Below are 15,388 nucleotides of genomic sequence, written 5' to 3'. Positions count from 1 at the left end.
TACCTGGATTGCCATATATGCTCTTAAGTCAGTGGTTTACAAACTGCTCTGTGAATCCCTGGGAGTTAACGTTGACTGCCCTGAGGGAAGAAATGGAAGATGAAATAGATGGGTCTCAGGGCCTGTTGACAATATGTAAGTGAGATCAGCTCTATTTTTATGTGTTTTATTTATTGTGGTTCTGAACACATTTCACTTTTTAAAAGGGTTCTTTTGCTTTAAAAAAAGAAAAGCAAGTATACCTCTGTTTTAATAAACTAGAAGTTTTCCTTTAGTTTCAGATATGTAATCTCTGCTTGGCTTTTCTTCTTAGACCCTGTGTTGGGCTATTTGATGAAAGGCCTGTGTGAAAAGCCCCTGGCTTCTGCTGCAGCCAAAGCCATTCATAACATTTGCTCTGTCTGCCGAGATCACATGGCTCAGCACTTTAATGGACTCCTGGAGATTGCCCGCTCCCTCGATTCCTTCCTGTTGTCTCCAGAAGCTGCTGTGGGCTTGCTAAAAGGTACTCACTTGATGTTAACCACTAATAGTCACCTCAAAGCCACTACCTGGGGTAATCTTACATCTGTCATATCCCAGTTTTTCAGTTGCAATGTACTTAGTGTTTAAGAATTTATAAGATGAGGAAGATGGCTTTTCCACTAGAGGGGATAGTGTTGACTATATGTACATGCATTCTTTTCTTGGATTATCTTAAGCCTATATAATTAATTAATACTACTTGCGGTATATATAGCACCGACCTAGATTTGGGTAGAGACAACATATTCAAACTAAACACGGCTGCTTTTTAAGTTGGAAGAATAAAAAGGGAGACCAAAGAAGCATTGCCATACCAAAGAGGTAAATGGGAGTTGAAAGGTAGTATACATGGATCAGTGCCATGAGTAGAAGTCAGGGGTCCTGGTCTCTTAGCAGCCTTTAACCATTACTGATCAGCTTATACTGAGTGATTGTCTATCCAGAGGCAAACAGCCATTGTGATGAGGCTCGGACTTAATAGAAGAACTAGAGATATTAAGGCTAGGGGAAAAGACTTAGAACAGCCTTTAAGCATGGTAGCTATTTTTAAATATTTGAAAGATGGTCTTATAAAAGAAGGATCATATTTATTTTATGAGTAGTCACTTGTCAGCCATTTATAGGGAAGCATATACTGGCTCTAGGAAGAAAACACTTAACCATACTTTCTGAACACAGATTGGGGTGCCCTGTGAGGTAATGAAATTCTTATCACTGGTAAATCAGAGAGATTGAGGTATATTAAAGGATTGGGTAAAATAACCTGTGTGATATCTTCTAAGCCTCTGTGACTTGTTAAACAATTAGCCTTGGCAAGAGTGGATGGCTTATTTGTGAATTCTGTCCTTTGTTATTCATATGACCAGATTCCTTACCAGCTAGTGTGACTGTGCTTTTTTATATCAGATTTTCTTTTTGTACCTTGGGTTTTTGTTGTTTCCCTTCATAGGCACAGATAAATCAGAGTCAAATATTCTTGTCATTTTCTAGTGGAATTTATTAACCTTGACATTGAAGTGAGGTCTAACCTGTAGTACAATGTGGCCTCCCAATTTTCAGTGGTATCTAATAGATGTAGAAAATGGTTTTCAATTTTTATTTATTTATTTATTTTAGAGACAGGGTCTCGCTTGTTGCCAAGCTGGGATGCAGTGGCATGATCATAGCTCACTGTAACCTTGAAGCCCTAGACTCAAGTGACCCTCGTGTCTCAGCTTCCCAAGTGGCAAGGACTACAGGTGCACACCACTATGCTTAGCTGATTTTTTAAATTTTTAATAGAGACAGGGTCTTGCTATATAGCCCAGGCTGGTCTTGAACTCATGGCTTCAAGTGATCCTCCTGCCTTGGCCTCCCAAAGTGCTGAGATACCAGGCATGAGCCACCACACCTGGCTGAAAACTTTTTAAAGTAACATACTTTTCTATAGGAATTAATTAAAAGGAAAATCATGCTGAAATTAGGCTTTTCCCTCCTAGTTTTAAAGAAAAGTCTAACTCGTCTATGGCTTATAGATGGCCAAGAAGATTCACTCTGTTTTTTTAATTCAAATTTGAAGGTTTAGGGATAAATTACTGTTCTGTTGAATGAAACTTCAGGAAGTGAAAACATTTATATTCAAGGTGTTTTTTGACCTAGAAGGGACCTAGGCTAATACGTAATCCTTTGGATTTGGGGAAGGTGTTTCAGCAGTTGGTGGGGTTAGAATGGGGATTGCAGCAAGAGGGAGGCTGAGTAGGAAGGGTCTGGACCTTCTGTCTCCACTTGAACCTAACTGCCTCTTTTGGTTTTTCTTTTTAACCTATTTTATTGGAGTTCTAAGTCAAGATTTGTTTAGGAGGGAAAAAGAAAGGGGGTAGGAGGCTTTTGTAACTTTTTTTTAAAATGAAAGAAAGGCAAATTTAACTGTTACTTTGCTGTTCAAGTCACTTATTTCATAAAGAAACTGAAGCCCAAAGAAAATGTCTCTTATAACCTCACAGAGAGTGTTATGGTGTAAGAGTGAAATCTCTAATTGCAGCCCATTCTTCTAAAAGCATTATGTCAGAATTTCTCTTGTGATAAGAATTGCTGGAAGTATTTATCAAAAATAAAGACTCTCTTTGACCCACTAAATCAGAATCTCTGGGAAGTCTGAGAAACATTACACTATGGTATACATTTTAAAATAGCTTTGCCATTGGCTTTGTGAAGGAGATTTTAAAAGTCTTTGACAAATATTAACTTCAGTTGTAAGTGTTAATCAGTCTTAGCCTTCTGAGCCCAATAAAGAATAAAGAAAAAACAACTGTAAATAACAAAGTGTTGTCATTTTAAAAAACAATGCTGATCTTTTTAAAAGAATGGAACCAAACCAGTTCGCTTTTTCTGGTCACTCACATGATGTAGTCCAGTTAAGTTACCTCAATTCAGCGTTTATTTTTCATTTGTATCTTCCTTTGTTTTTCAGGGACAGCACTTGTCCTAGCCCGATTACCTTTGGATAAGATTACCGAATGTCTTAGTGAACTATGTTCTGTTCAGGTTATGGCATTGAAAAAGGTAAGTCCAATTAAGGAAGGTGTGAAACAAATATAAGATGTTTACATGTTAAAAATGAAAAGATGAAATTACTTATTTACAGATCTTTTGTCTACCTAGAAAATCCAAGAAAATGCACTAAGAATTTATTAAAATTAATGTAATCAAAGTAGCTGCATACAATAAATATTTCAGAATTAATAGATTCTCATTATATCAGTGTTAACAGAAAAACCAAATTTTATAAAATGTTTTAAAGAGGTTTGTCCTGAGCCAGTATGAGTGACCACAGCCCAGGGAAACCCAGTCTCGAGGAGTTCTGAGAAAGTGTGCTTGAGGTGGTGGGATTATGGTTTGGTTTTATACACTTCAGGGATGTAGGAGTTACAGGCAAATACATAAATCAAAATATGGAAGGTATACATTGGTTTAGTCTAAAAAGATGGGCTGTCTTGAAGTGGGGGCTTACAAGTCATAAGTGGATTCAGAGATTCTTTAATCTGCAGTTGGTTAAAGGAACAAAAAGCTTGGAGCTAGCAGAAAGGAATGTTTAAGTTAAGGTTGCTATGTCAGGGTCAGCCATAACTCTGACAGTTTAATAAGATTGATGGGCTATAGATGTGACTTAACTCTTGCCTTCTGTGGCCTCAGATCTTGTTTATAATTTGGTAAAGGAGTCTTTGATCAGCCGGGTGTCGTGGCTCATGCCAGTAATCCCAGCATTTTGGAGGCCTAGACAGGTGGATCATTTGAGGTCCGGAGTTAGAGTCTGACCAACATGGTGAAACCCTGGTCTCTACTAAAAATACAAAAAATTAGCCAGGTGTGGTGACGCACACTTGTAATCTCAGCTACTCGGGAGGCTGAGGCGGGAGAATCACTTGAACCTGGGAGGCGGAAGTTGCATTGAACCGAAATCGCGCCATTGTACTCCATCCTGGGTGGCAGAGCAAGACTCCACCTCAAAAAAAGAAAAAAAAAGTCTTTGATTGGTCTTATGATCTCCATTTAACATTAATGCTGGCCACTTGCACCTAAACTCCGAAAGATAGGGAGTATAACAAAACATATCTGACCTCCCTTCCCATCATGGCTGAGAGCTCCGTTTTTAAGGTTTCTCTGGGGTCCCCATGGCAACAGGAGGGACCTATTCAGTTGGTGGGAGACTTAGGATTTTATTTTTAGTTTACATTGGTAATCATCAGTTAGAAAATGTAATGGGAAAAGAATTCATTCAAGTTAGCAATCAACGCCTGAACCTACCATGTTTCCTTAAAGGATATAAAGATGTCAACTCTTCTCCAGTTATATTTATAGTGCAATAACTTTAGACATACCAATGGGATTTTTAGAACTTGATAAAATAATTCTGTAGTTCATCTCTGATGATTTACTAATGGGAGTATCTAAGAAATTTTAGGAAAGAAGAGTAAGAGACAATTTGCTTAAAATATATTACAAAGCTATAATAATTTTAAAGCCTTATAATATAAAGCTAAATATATAATCTTTTACATATTGTGTAACATAACATATATACAATCTATATTATGTAATATGTAATAATAATAATTAAGGTAAATGGGAAAAAAATCAAATGATACTGTTTTCTACTCCTCAGTAATCAGACAGTAAAATGTAGCAATATGTAGTCTTGGCCAGGATGCAATAAGATGGAGGAAAATAATTTGACAATATAAATTAAAATTTGCGCCATTTGAGTAACTTTTAGGAGTTTATATACTTTTAGGACTTTATATAAGGAAATAAGCAGAGATTGAGACAAAGGTTGATGTATGTTGCAGTGTTGGCTGTAGATTTGTACATGTGACAATTGGGTGTTAATGTCCTTTTGTCTCTTCAGCTGTTGTCTCAAGAGCCCAGCAATGGCATATCCTCAGATCCCACAGTGTTCTTAGATCGCCTTGCAGTGATATTTAGGTAAGAAAGGAGACTCTGGATGCCTTACTTGGGTTAAAGGCTCAAATGAAACCATTGTATATTGAAGTAAGCAAGTATTTTTTCCTCATACTTCCAAGTATCTCCCTATGTTTGGAGACTAATTAAGCCAGCTGTTACCTGAAGTTCTGGGGCAAAGGCAAATTCTAAGAATTCATTCCTGGTAGGTCTTTGTGTTAAAATACTCTTTAAAAAGTGGAAGGCCGGGAGCGATGGCTCACACCTGTAATCCCAGCACCTGGGAGGCCAAAGCAGACAGATTGCTTGAGCTCAGGAGTTCGACACCAGCCTGGGCAACGTGGCAAAACCCTGTCTCTACCAAAAATATAAAAAATTAGCTGGGTATGGTGGCATGGGCCTGTGGTCCCAGCTATTTGGGAGGCTGAGGTGGGAGGATCACTTGAGCCTGGGAAGCAGAGGTTGCAGTGAGCTAAGATCACATCACTGCACTCTAGCCGGGGTGACAGAGTGAGAACCCCATCTCAAAAAAAAAAAAAAAGACTCTTTAAAAATGGAATTCTTTTGGTCTCCAGTTCTGTGGAGACCAAAAGACCAAACTTTCACATATATCATCATTCCACATGCATCAGAATCACCTGGGCTTATCAAAACACAGATTGCTAGATCCCATCCCCTCAGTGTCTGATTCATTAGATCTTGGGTAGGACCTGAAAATTTGCATTTCTGATAATTCCCAGGTGATGCTGATGATTCTGCTTGCTAATCCAGAGACCATACTTTCAGAACCATCGCTGTATATAGTGTATGGGTACAAAAATATAATGAAGTTTCTTCAGTGATCAGGTGAAATTAATGCATCTTTGAAGTGAAGAGGAGGAGCCTAATGATTAAAAAGGCATTTGAGTGACAGTTTTCAAAGAGTAATTCTTACTGAGTAACATAATTTATAATTTTTGGGACCCATGTATAACTGGAATGTTATAGTAATCATTGTGTAGAAGCCTATGTGGGATAAATATTTAAAAAGGTGATGTGTTACTAGTTATTGTCAACAGATATCTTTCTCTCAGTTGGTGCAATGTTTTCCTTTTATAATTAGGAGAGCCCTATTAACATGCTATTCTGAGAACCTATTAACAGTAACCCTTATTTCACAGTAAATGAAAGAAAATCTGAAATAGATGTAAATACTTGAATTAAAGTTAAATTTTTATTAAGTTGCTGTTGAGCTTTTTAAAACTAAAGAGTAGCTTTCCTTTAAAGTAGTTTGTAGTTAATTATGTGTGGTTTTTTTTTCCTGCTTTTCTTCAAATTGTGAGCTATCGAACTAGACAGAGGAGTTGTATTTGACTGATTGTGGAAAGTACATTGGATTCAAACTAGAACTACAACATCTTTGGACTACAGTTCCTATAGCTTTTAGTCTTTTAATGCAAGGAATGAAGCAATACTTGGTTTCTAGTAGTGGATTTAGACAACCTGTGTATATTTTTTTGTTAATTAGGAAGAAACTACATATTCAGGTTTGGTTTTGTTGTTGTTGTTGTTGTTGTTTTTGTTTGTTTGTTTTTGAGATGGAGTTTTACTTCATCCGCTTGTTGCCCAGGCCGGAGTACAATGGTGTGATCTCGGTTCACTGCAACCACTGCCTCCCACGTTCAAGTGATTCTTCTGCCTCAGCCTCCTAAGTAGCTGGGATTATAGGCATGTGCCACCACCAGCCTCCCAAGTAGCTGGGATTATAGGCATGCACCACCACCAGCCTCCCAAGTAGCTGGGATTACAGGCATGCGCCACCACGCCCGGCTTATTTTTGTATTTTTAGTAGAGACGGGTTTTCACCATATTGGTCAGGCTGGTCTTGAACTCCTGGACTCAGGTGATCTACCCGCCTTGGCCTCCCAGAGTGCTGGGATTACAGGCGTGAGCCACCACACCCAGCCCATATTTGGGTTTATAAAGGGAAAAATGGAAAAGATAGCCATAGTGCCTCACAGCCCATCTACCCAAAGTTGGATTGAATTTGCGTGTTCTATTGGAAGTGACTTAAAGGTGGCCAAAAAATGATAGGATGATTTAAAGGATGTGCTTATAAAGGTGATGTAAGTAAATGACTTTATCATCTGGTTTTCTTTATTTGGTGAAAATGATACTAAGTAAGCAAGCAGGGATCAGGGCTCTGGGTCCTCAGTGAAATTGGTCTTTGTTCACTATTTTGGGCTGTTGTCTTTTCCCAGGCATACCAATCCCATTGTGGAAAATGGACAGACTCATCCGTGTCAGAAAGTCATACAGGAAGTAAGTGCTAATGGATGCTTGTGGAATCAAGGCTTGCTTCTTTTTTCCTTACAGGGCTTTGGGTAACTCACCTGAGAAGATACTGTCTTCCAAGTTCATAGGGAGATTCAGTTTGTTGATGTGGTTTCAATGAAATGAGGGACAGAGCCATCCAAATGTCTTTTATTTTAGATTTGATAACAAAACAGGCTGCAAGGGAATGCCTTGAAAGACCAGAGAAGTGGTAGAAAGAGATTCACTGTGTGACTCCTAGAGTTACTAGGAGGCCTGATCAATACCAGCAGAATATTTTTGACAAAGCTAGTGACTTCGTTTTCCTCAGTGATGACATACTTCCCCTCTACTTTTTTCACTGAAGGTTATGTGAGGATCAAAAGTCATGTTTTAAGAATTGCTTTTGAGACTTCAGAGGACAAATTACATCAACACTAAATACTCTTAAGTGTCCAATGGTCTCAAATGATGCCATTTCCTTAACTCTAGTCCTTTTGTTCAAATTCTTCCACCTTCCAGGAACTATCTTTAAACATCTCTTCCTATATAGCTCGTACCAATTCTTTTCATAGCCTTTCGGGAAGTCTGAAGTTTAGGAAATTGTGTATCTCTGTCATTTAGCAAAGTTAGACATGCTCTTCCAGTTCTAAAGAGGCACTGTTTTCTCTTGTTAAGTGATAGGGTTTTGTGGTGGGTAGTCTATTGAACCTGAGCATGCTGGCCATGTGTGTTCCTATACAGAAAGTTTTGTCCCAGTTATTTAAAAGCTAAATGAGGTGTTACCAACTTAGCAGTTTTTCAGGTCCTAGTTGTTGATTATTTTCTTTCTTGTGCTCTTTTACTTTTGACCCAGATATGGCCAGTTTTATCCGAGACTCTAAATAAGCACCGAGCTGATAATCGGATTGTAGAGCGTTGTTGCAGGTGCCTGCGCTTTGCTGTTCGCTGTGTAGGCAAAGGATCTGCAGCACTGCTGCAGCCACTAGTCACACAGGTAAAGTTATCTGTTGCGGGGGGACGTGTTCCATGTACAGAATTTGAAATAGGCAGGGTGCGGTGGCTCACGTCTGTAATCCCAGCACTTTGGGAGGCCTATGCAGGTGGACCACCTGAGGTCAGGAGTTCAAGACCAGCCTGGCCAACATGGTGAAACCCTGTCTCTACTAAAAATACAAAAATTAGCCAGGCATGGTGGCGGGCACCTATAATCCTAGCTACTCGGGAGGCTGAGGCAGGAGAATCGCTTGAACCCAGGAGCTGCACTGCACTCCAGCCAGGGTGACAGAGCAAGACTCCATCTCAAAAAAAGAATTTGAAATAGGAGCCTTTAGAACAAAAACTTTGCTGATGAAATGAAACACTTTTGTATTTATTAACAAACTAAAAAAACACTTGAAAGAGATTAGTGCCTGTGATAGGTACATTGTCTATAAGGGAAACAGCCTAAAATCGCTTCTGTATAGTAGCTATAGCAGTATTCTAAGTAGCAACACAGTCCATTGTGAAATTCTGTGAAGCGAATGACTTGGGCTCAGTACTTATATACTAATGGTAAGCATTTTTATATTGAGATCCTTGGGGAAAAAATGTAGCAAGTCAGACTTTGCTGTTTCTTTGCCCAAAGGGATTTTCTTCAATCTTGGCCACAGTTAGTTGTCCACAGAAGTCTCTTGTCAAAAAATAAATTTGACTCTTTTAGTCATTAAGATTGATATGTAATTATGATGGTATGACTCACTAAATGATGTTCTCTAAAATCATATTCTCATCTAGAACTGTATGAGATGCCTATGCTTAAGTCACTAAGTAATTGTGTTGATGTTAACCTTAGAGCAGGGCCAGGATGCCAGTGCCTAGGGCACAAGATTTAGGGACACAAGGCAAAGTGCCAATCCTGCATTTGCAGGACTCTGAGGTGCTTTCTGAAATTTTGTACCCATGCTGTGAGGAAAACAGTCACAGAGCTCCAGGCTAGAGTCATACCCCACCCAACCTGAAGTGACCATGCTCCACCTAGGGAGAGGAGAGCACCTAGGGTGCAGATTTTAAGGAGGTCCTGGCCTTAAGAATGAGTTCCCCCTGGCCAGGTGCAGTGCCTCACGCCTGTAATCCCAGCACTTTGGGAGGCCGAGGTGGGTGGATCACGAGGTCAGGAGTTCAAGACCAGCCTGGCCAAGATGGTGAAACCCCATCTCTACTAAAAATACAAAAAATTAGCCAGGCGCAGTGGCAGGCGCCTGTAGTCCCAGCTATTCATGAGGCTGAGGAAGGAGAATCATTTGAACCCGGAGGGTGGAGGTTGCAGTGAGCTGAGATCGTGCCACTGCACTCCAGCCTGGGTGACAGAGTGAAACTCCATCTCAAAAAAAAAAAAAAAGAAAAAAGAAAAAAAGAATGAGTTCCCCCTTAAATTCTGCATCATAGGTGCCCTCAACCACAGGCACAGGCATGCTGGTGCGGTGTTGGTACTTGGATAACCTTGCCTCTCTAAATTATAGATTTGATTAAAGATTGTACAGGTAAATATTTCAACAGAATTTTAATTTTTAGTGATTTCTCTACTTTCACTATATGCTGAGCACAATAATGTATGTTCGCATTTAGGCGATTGCCACCTCTGGTCAAGTGTCCCCTTCAGTGCAATACATTCTGGGTCTACTACAACTTGATAGACTGCCCCTTTGCTGTTGGAGGATACCCTCATGACTTTGATACTGTTTTTTAATTCCTGCCAGTTAAGTATATGACTAACCCAATAGAGTAGGTAGCACTATTATATAGGAAGTGTGTTCTAGAGTCAGTACATGTGACAAAAATGAAAATTATCCTTAAAAAATCCCTTAACTCAGGAGCCAGCAATTGATAGTCAGTGGCCTTGCCACCTATTTTTGTTTTTGTGTTTTTTTTAATGTTTTACTGAGCTATAGCCATAATTCATTTACGTATTATCTATTGGTCATTTTTGTGCTACACTGGCAAACTTGAGTGGGCAGAAGACTGAATGGTGGATAAGATCTATACTTTTTACAAAGTAGCCCTTTAAGAAAATGTTTGGCAACCCTTGACTTAATCATTCCTTAGTAGAGCATATAATTTTGAGTTTACAACATGGAATGGATTCATAGCTCCCATCTCATGCTCATTCCATGGCATATGCCAACAGAAGAATTAAGTTACTGTATCCTTTCAGTCCCAAGTTCATAGAGTTGAATTTATGTAATAAGATCAATACATATGTACTGTGGTGGCATTTTAAATAGGTGAGTGTACAATTGTTTCTTAATTCTGGGAGGATAGTGGAGTAAAAATTCTAAACAAATCATTTAAGCGCATATCGTGGCCGGGCATGGTGGTGCACACCTATAGTCCCAGCTGCTCGGGAGGCTGAGGTGGGAGGATCCCTTGAGCCTGGTAGGTTGAGGCCACAGTGAGCCAAGATCTCACCACTGCACTCCAGCCTGGGCAACAGAGCGAAACCCAGTCTCTTAAAAAAAAAATAATAATGTGCATATTGTGTTAAAATTTTTGCTGTGTTGAAATCCAAATATCTTCGTAGAAAACACTATTTTTTACTTAAAAGATAAAATAGGTTTAGGAGCAACTCAAAATTTAAACAATGCTTTCACTGTCTTCTCCAAGATGAAGGTGTTTGATACTGTTTTCCCAACTGTGGCTATATATCCTATTTAAAAGTATGACTTATCTACAGTGCAAATGAGAGCAACTTTTACGTACTGGATGAAATATTCTGTGCTGGGGTTTTGCAAATAATCCATGAGTTCCCTGATAGCTTCTAGCTTTAACTCTTATACAGCATTGTCTTGGGAAGATGAAAGGTCAAAGGGTTGGAAGAATAGAGAACCTGAAAATCATTGAGATATTGAGCCCTGTGTTTCACAAAATAGTGCTAAGAAGCTTTATACTATGTTGCCTTAAAGAGAAGAAGCCAATCTATCTCTGAATTTCTTCCTGGAGACAGCTTCGTAAGTTGGTACTTTTTGAAGGACGAAGCATTGAACTAATTGTTTTTTCCCTCAACAGATGGTGAATGTGTACCACGTACATCAGCATTCCTGCTTCCTGTACCTTGGCAGTATCCTTGTGGATGAATATGGCATGGAAGAAGGCTGTCGGCAGGGACTGCTAGACATGCTCCAGGTATCTTTTCCATGAGGAGTGTAGACGCATCAGGCCTAGAGGGTCTGAAGGCCTAGCAGCGTATTCTTTACCATGTCTTTAATTCTGTTGCTTCTTTATGTTTTCCCCCAGGCATGTTGATTTCCTAATAACAGGGAGGTGGAAGCTTCCCAGTTGTTCTCTGAACAGGCCTGTTTGAGAGAATGAGAGACTGACCACATGAGTGTAATGATTATTACATGTTACTGCCTGGTTTATGCTCTTCCAGAGATAGGGTGTTTGGAGGGGGGAGGAGGTGAGAAAAATGAATCTCTAAGCTCAAGCATTATTGTATTTTTAACTTCTTGCCTGGAACAGCCAACTGACTAGTTTACTTAGCAGCAGGGAGGGTTTTAGAATTAATAATAGCATTGGAAACAGCTCCTCAGATACTGCTTTTCCCTCCCTTCCAGCCACAGAGGGGAATATTGAGTTGAAGAATGTTGTTTCTTTTCCCAAGATGTCTTTTCATTTAAAATTGATATTTCATAATTATTATAAAAACTTCCACTCCCTTAGTGGACTATACCTAAATAGAATCTTTGCTTTCAGAAATTTCTAAAACTTTGAGATGACATCTGTTGAGTTTTATCAGCTAAAATCTGTTTTCTCAACCCTTTCTTAAATGTGGACTTCATAGGTGAAAACTGTTTATGTCAACTGGGAAGGATTTATGTGTTTCTTTTCCTGATCAGATTCTCATTACAATCTTTTTCTTTTCCCAGCTGTGCTTTTCTTCTTTGTTCCTTTTGTACTTATTGTAATAAATATTTGGCAAGTCTGAATGCTGTGGCATTTCTGAAAAAGCATTTCTTTTAAAATCACTGTTTTGTTTTAGGCACTGTGCATCCCCACCTTTCAGCTCCTAGAACAGCAGAATGGTCTCCAGAATCACCCTGACACTGTAGATGACCTGTTCCGGCTAGCCACCAGGTAAATCCTTCTGAAGAGCCCATTTCTTAATTGCTCATCCTATCACTGCTTAGTCTTGCCATCTGACCCTTGGTTGTTTTATTCTTGTAAAATGAAGTCACTGGAGTAAGTAGATTAATGATTCATAACCCAAAGGTAAATTGCAAGCTGATATATCCCCAGCAGTGACGCAGAGTATTGCGGGAAGCAAGGGATAAAGGAGCTGAGTTCCTGCCAGGAAGGAGGGCTCACACACAAGACAATGCAGTGTGCCTGGCAAAACACTTGACTAGATCATCTCTACAGTCCTCTGTAGGTTTTAACTGTTCGTGCTGTTGCGATTTCATGTTTCACCTCAACCTTCTCTTTGAGAAGCTTAGCATCCTTTAGATATAATCAGTTTCGGAATAAAGAATGTTTGGGATTTTAAGATGCCTTAGCAGTTATCTCATACTGTATTTCTCAGCTCTACTCACAGCCTACTTTATCAGTAGCACTGATAATATGATTGCCAAACTTCTGCTTGAATTCCTTAGTCCCTAACTAAGGAATTTGAACCAAAACTGTTACCATATCAGCATTAAAAAAAAAAAAAAAAGAAAAATCATTATTTTCGAAACAACAAAAGCCCAACTGTTATATCATTTACAAATGCAAAGTAATGTTGACTTGATTGTTTCATCTTAGGATTGATTTTTTTTCTTTTTTCTTTTTTGAGATGGACTCTCACTCTGTTGCCCAGGCTGGAGTGCAATGGCATGATCTCGGCTCACTGCAACCTCTGCCTCCTGGGTTCAAGTGATTCTCCTACCTCAGCCTCCCGAGTAGTTGGGATTACAGGTGCCCACCACCATGCCCAGCTAATTTTTGTATTTTTAGTAGAGACGGGGTTTTGCCATGTTGATCAGGCTGGTCTCAAACTCCTGGCCTCAGGTGATCCGCCCACCTTGGCCTCCCAAAGTCCTGGGATTACAGGCGTGAGCCACCGTACCTGGCAGGATTGAATATTGAACCCTTTTTTTTTGTTAGTTTTTGGATAGGTTAGAAAAACCCTTTTTTTTTCCTTTTCTTTTTTTTTTTTTTTCAGTTGATAGAATTGTTGGATGGGCTGTCACCCTCTGTTTTCTTTTTTTTTTTTTTTTTTTTTTTTTTTGAGACGGAGTCTCGCTCTGTCGCCCAGGCTGGAGTGCAGTGGCGTGATCTTGGCTCACTGCAAGCTCTGCCTCCTGGGTTCACGCCATTCTCCTGCCTCAGCCTCCCGAGTAGCTGGGACTACAGGCACCCGCCACCACACCCAGCTAATTTTTTGTATTTTTAGTAGAGACGGGGTTTCACTGTGTTAGCCAGGATGGTCTCGATCTCCTGACCTCGTGATCCACCCTCCTCGGCCTCCCAAAGTGCTGGGATTACAGGCCTGAGCCACCACGCCCGGCACACCCTCTGTTTTCTTAGGGTATGTATTCCTTGGAAAACTAGTCCCTAAAAATGTTCTTTATACAAATGATGAAACAAGTTTGGAGTATACTGTACCTTTTTCTGAAGAGATTCTCCCTGTATATTAAAGGAACTTAGAAACCTGATAGTAGTTTAAAGGAAAAAATAAACAAGCAAAACTACTTTCAAAATCCAGCAGCATTTCCCAAGCTTACCTGAACACACAACCTTTTCTTTGAGGGATTCCTGTTGACATCCTGGGAACTGGAATTCTGTGAACTTTAGTTTGGGAAATGCTGTTCTAGCATCTTTAGGACTTTTTAACCTAGGAGAGTTTCTACTTGTAGGTCCTTTTGACTGGTCTTTCTTGATTTATAAAATCTTAGTTGGAAATAGGATGTGGTGACACGTCTTTTAATATACTAATCTTAAGATATGGTCCTTTTTTTTTAAAGAGCAACTTTAGGTTCACTGCAAATTTGAGTGAAAAGTTGCTCCCATATACCCCTCCCTCCTAACACACACAGCCTTCCCCTCTATTAGCATCCCCCACCAGAGTAATACAAACAGTGACCCTATATGAACACATCATTATCACCCAAAGTCCATAGTTTACATTAGGCTTCACTCTTGGTGTACATTCTGTGGGTTTTGACAAATGTGTAATGACATGTATCCACTGTTATAGTATCATACAGAATACTTTCACTGCCAAAAAAAATCCTCTATGTTCTGTCTATTCATCCCTTCTTCCCTGAAACCCCCCACCAACCACTGATCTTTTTTACTGTCTTCATAGTTTTGCCCTTTTACCCTGGCTGCTTTTATAGCCTAATCTTGTCATTTATACCTAGTCTCACTTTCCACACCAGGTTTATTCAGCGTAGCCCTGTCACCTTGCTGCGGAGCCAAGTGGTCATCCCTATCTTACAGTGGGCCATTGCCTCTACTACCCTGGACCACCGGGATGCCAATTGTAGTGTCATGAGGTTTCTACGAGACCTCATTCATACAGGGGTAGCCAATGATGTAAGTATAAAAATGATACCATTTCTACTTAACAGCTTTTATCTCCTATCTCTTTGTCATTCCTTAGGAGAAAACCAGCATCCCAGTATTTCCTTACTTGATCTATATTGGTAGACATATATCATAGTGGATCATTCACTAGCCAAAATATCAACTAAGACACTTGTGCTGGGTGCTTTAGGCTATATAAAGCAGTCTAAAACTGTTCATGCTCCCAAATCATTTGGTGTCTAGTTGAAGAGAGAAACAAGTTTAAAGAGTTAAGTAACAACAAGATGCCAGTGTTTGGTGTTTTTCATTTGTTTTTGAAACAGGGTCTTGCTCTGTCGCCTAGGCTGGAGTACAGTGATGTGAATCTCAAGGGATCCTCAGCTACTGAGTAGCCAGGACTACAGACATTCAACACCATGCCTGGCTAGTTTTTATATTTTTTGTAGAGATGGCATTTCACCATGTTGCCCAGGTTGGTCTTGAACTCCTGGCCTCAAGTGATCCTCCCACCTTGGCCTCCAGTATTTGATTGTCAGATGAGTGATAAAAGTCATGATTGGTATGAGATCAGACGAGGGAAAGCTCTAGA

The 15,388-nt window shown here is 39.7% G+C and overlaps 1 protein-coding gene across 30 annotated transcripts in view, besides 3 other annotated features; it reads left to right on the top strand.

Annotated features, from left to right (window-relative positions):
* TNPO3 (transportin 3) overlaps positions 1–15,388 on the top strand; it is a 102,009-nt gene that overhangs the window by 68,960 nt on the left and 17,661 nt on the right. For 19 of the 30 annotated variants that reach the window (NR_167913.1, NR_167924.1, NR_167914.1 and 16 more), the window contains 8 exons: positions 314–505; positions 2,975–3,066; positions 4,910–4,986; positions 7,203–7,263; positions 8,111–8,251; positions 11,299–11,415; positions 12,272–12,366; positions 14,652–14,808. Coding sequence is in view for 12 of the 30 variants with exons in the window: in XM_047420091.1 (XP_047276047.1) it covers positions 314–505; positions 2,975–3,066; positions 4,910–4,986; positions 7,203–7,263; positions 8,111–8,251; positions 11,299–11,415; positions 12,272–12,366; positions 14,652–14,808 (932 nt within the window). In the remaining 18 variants the exon portion in view is untranslated. Of the gene's footprint in view, positions 1–313; positions 506–2,974; positions 3,067–4,909; positions 4,987–5,702; positions 5,809–7,202; positions 7,264–8,110; positions 8,252–11,298; positions 11,416–11,526; positions 11,690–12,271; positions 12,367–14,651; positions 14,809–15,388 lie in introns of all 30 variants that reach the window. The other 11 variants (NR_167916.1, NR_167923.1, NR_167926.1 and 8 more) reach the window with 6 other exon arrangements.
* Positions 3,131–3,300: an enhancer, noted in NCBI's record as "experimental_97543 CRE fragment used in MPRA reporter constructs". NCBI's record gives its function as "activates a minimal promoter by MPRAs in K562 erythroleukemia cells, with activity observed for the non-introgressed 7:128624073 or rs12534421 variant allele {active_cell/tissue: K562}" and the evidence as "EXISTENCE:reporter gene assay evidence [ECO:0000049][PMID:34662402]".
* Position 3,215: a transcriptional cis regulatory region, noted in NCBI's record as "Neanderthal adaptively introgressed variant 7:128624073 (GRCh37/hg19 assembly coordinates) or rs12534421 in the experimental_97543 CRE". NCBI's record gives its function as "modulates activity of the experimental_97543 enhancer by MPRAs in K562 erythroleukemia cells {active_cell/tissue: K562}" and the evidence as "EXISTENCE:reporter gene assay evidence [ECO:0000049][PMID:34662402]".
* Positions 4,626–5,184: an enhancer, noted in NCBI's record as "NANOG hESC enhancer chr7:128622104-128622662 (GRCh37/hg19 assembly coordinates)". NCBI's record gives its function as "activates a minimal SCP1, AML or CMV promoter by ChIP-STARR-seq in naive H9 embryonic stem cells {active_cell/tissue: H9 hESC(naive)}" and the evidence as "EXISTENCE:reporter gene assay evidence [ECO:0000049][PMID:30033119]".

The sequence above is a fragment of the Homo sapiens genome, chromosome 7 (genome assembly GCF_000001405.40).
Source record: "Homo sapiens chromosome 7, GRCh38.p14 Primary Assembly".
Classification (NCBI taxonomy): Eukaryota; Metazoa; Chordata; class Mammalia; order Primates; family Hominidae; genus Homo; species Homo sapiens.
The sequence above is the reverse complement of the archived record's forward strand: the minus strand, read 5'-3'. Positions and strand labels throughout refer to the sequence as shown.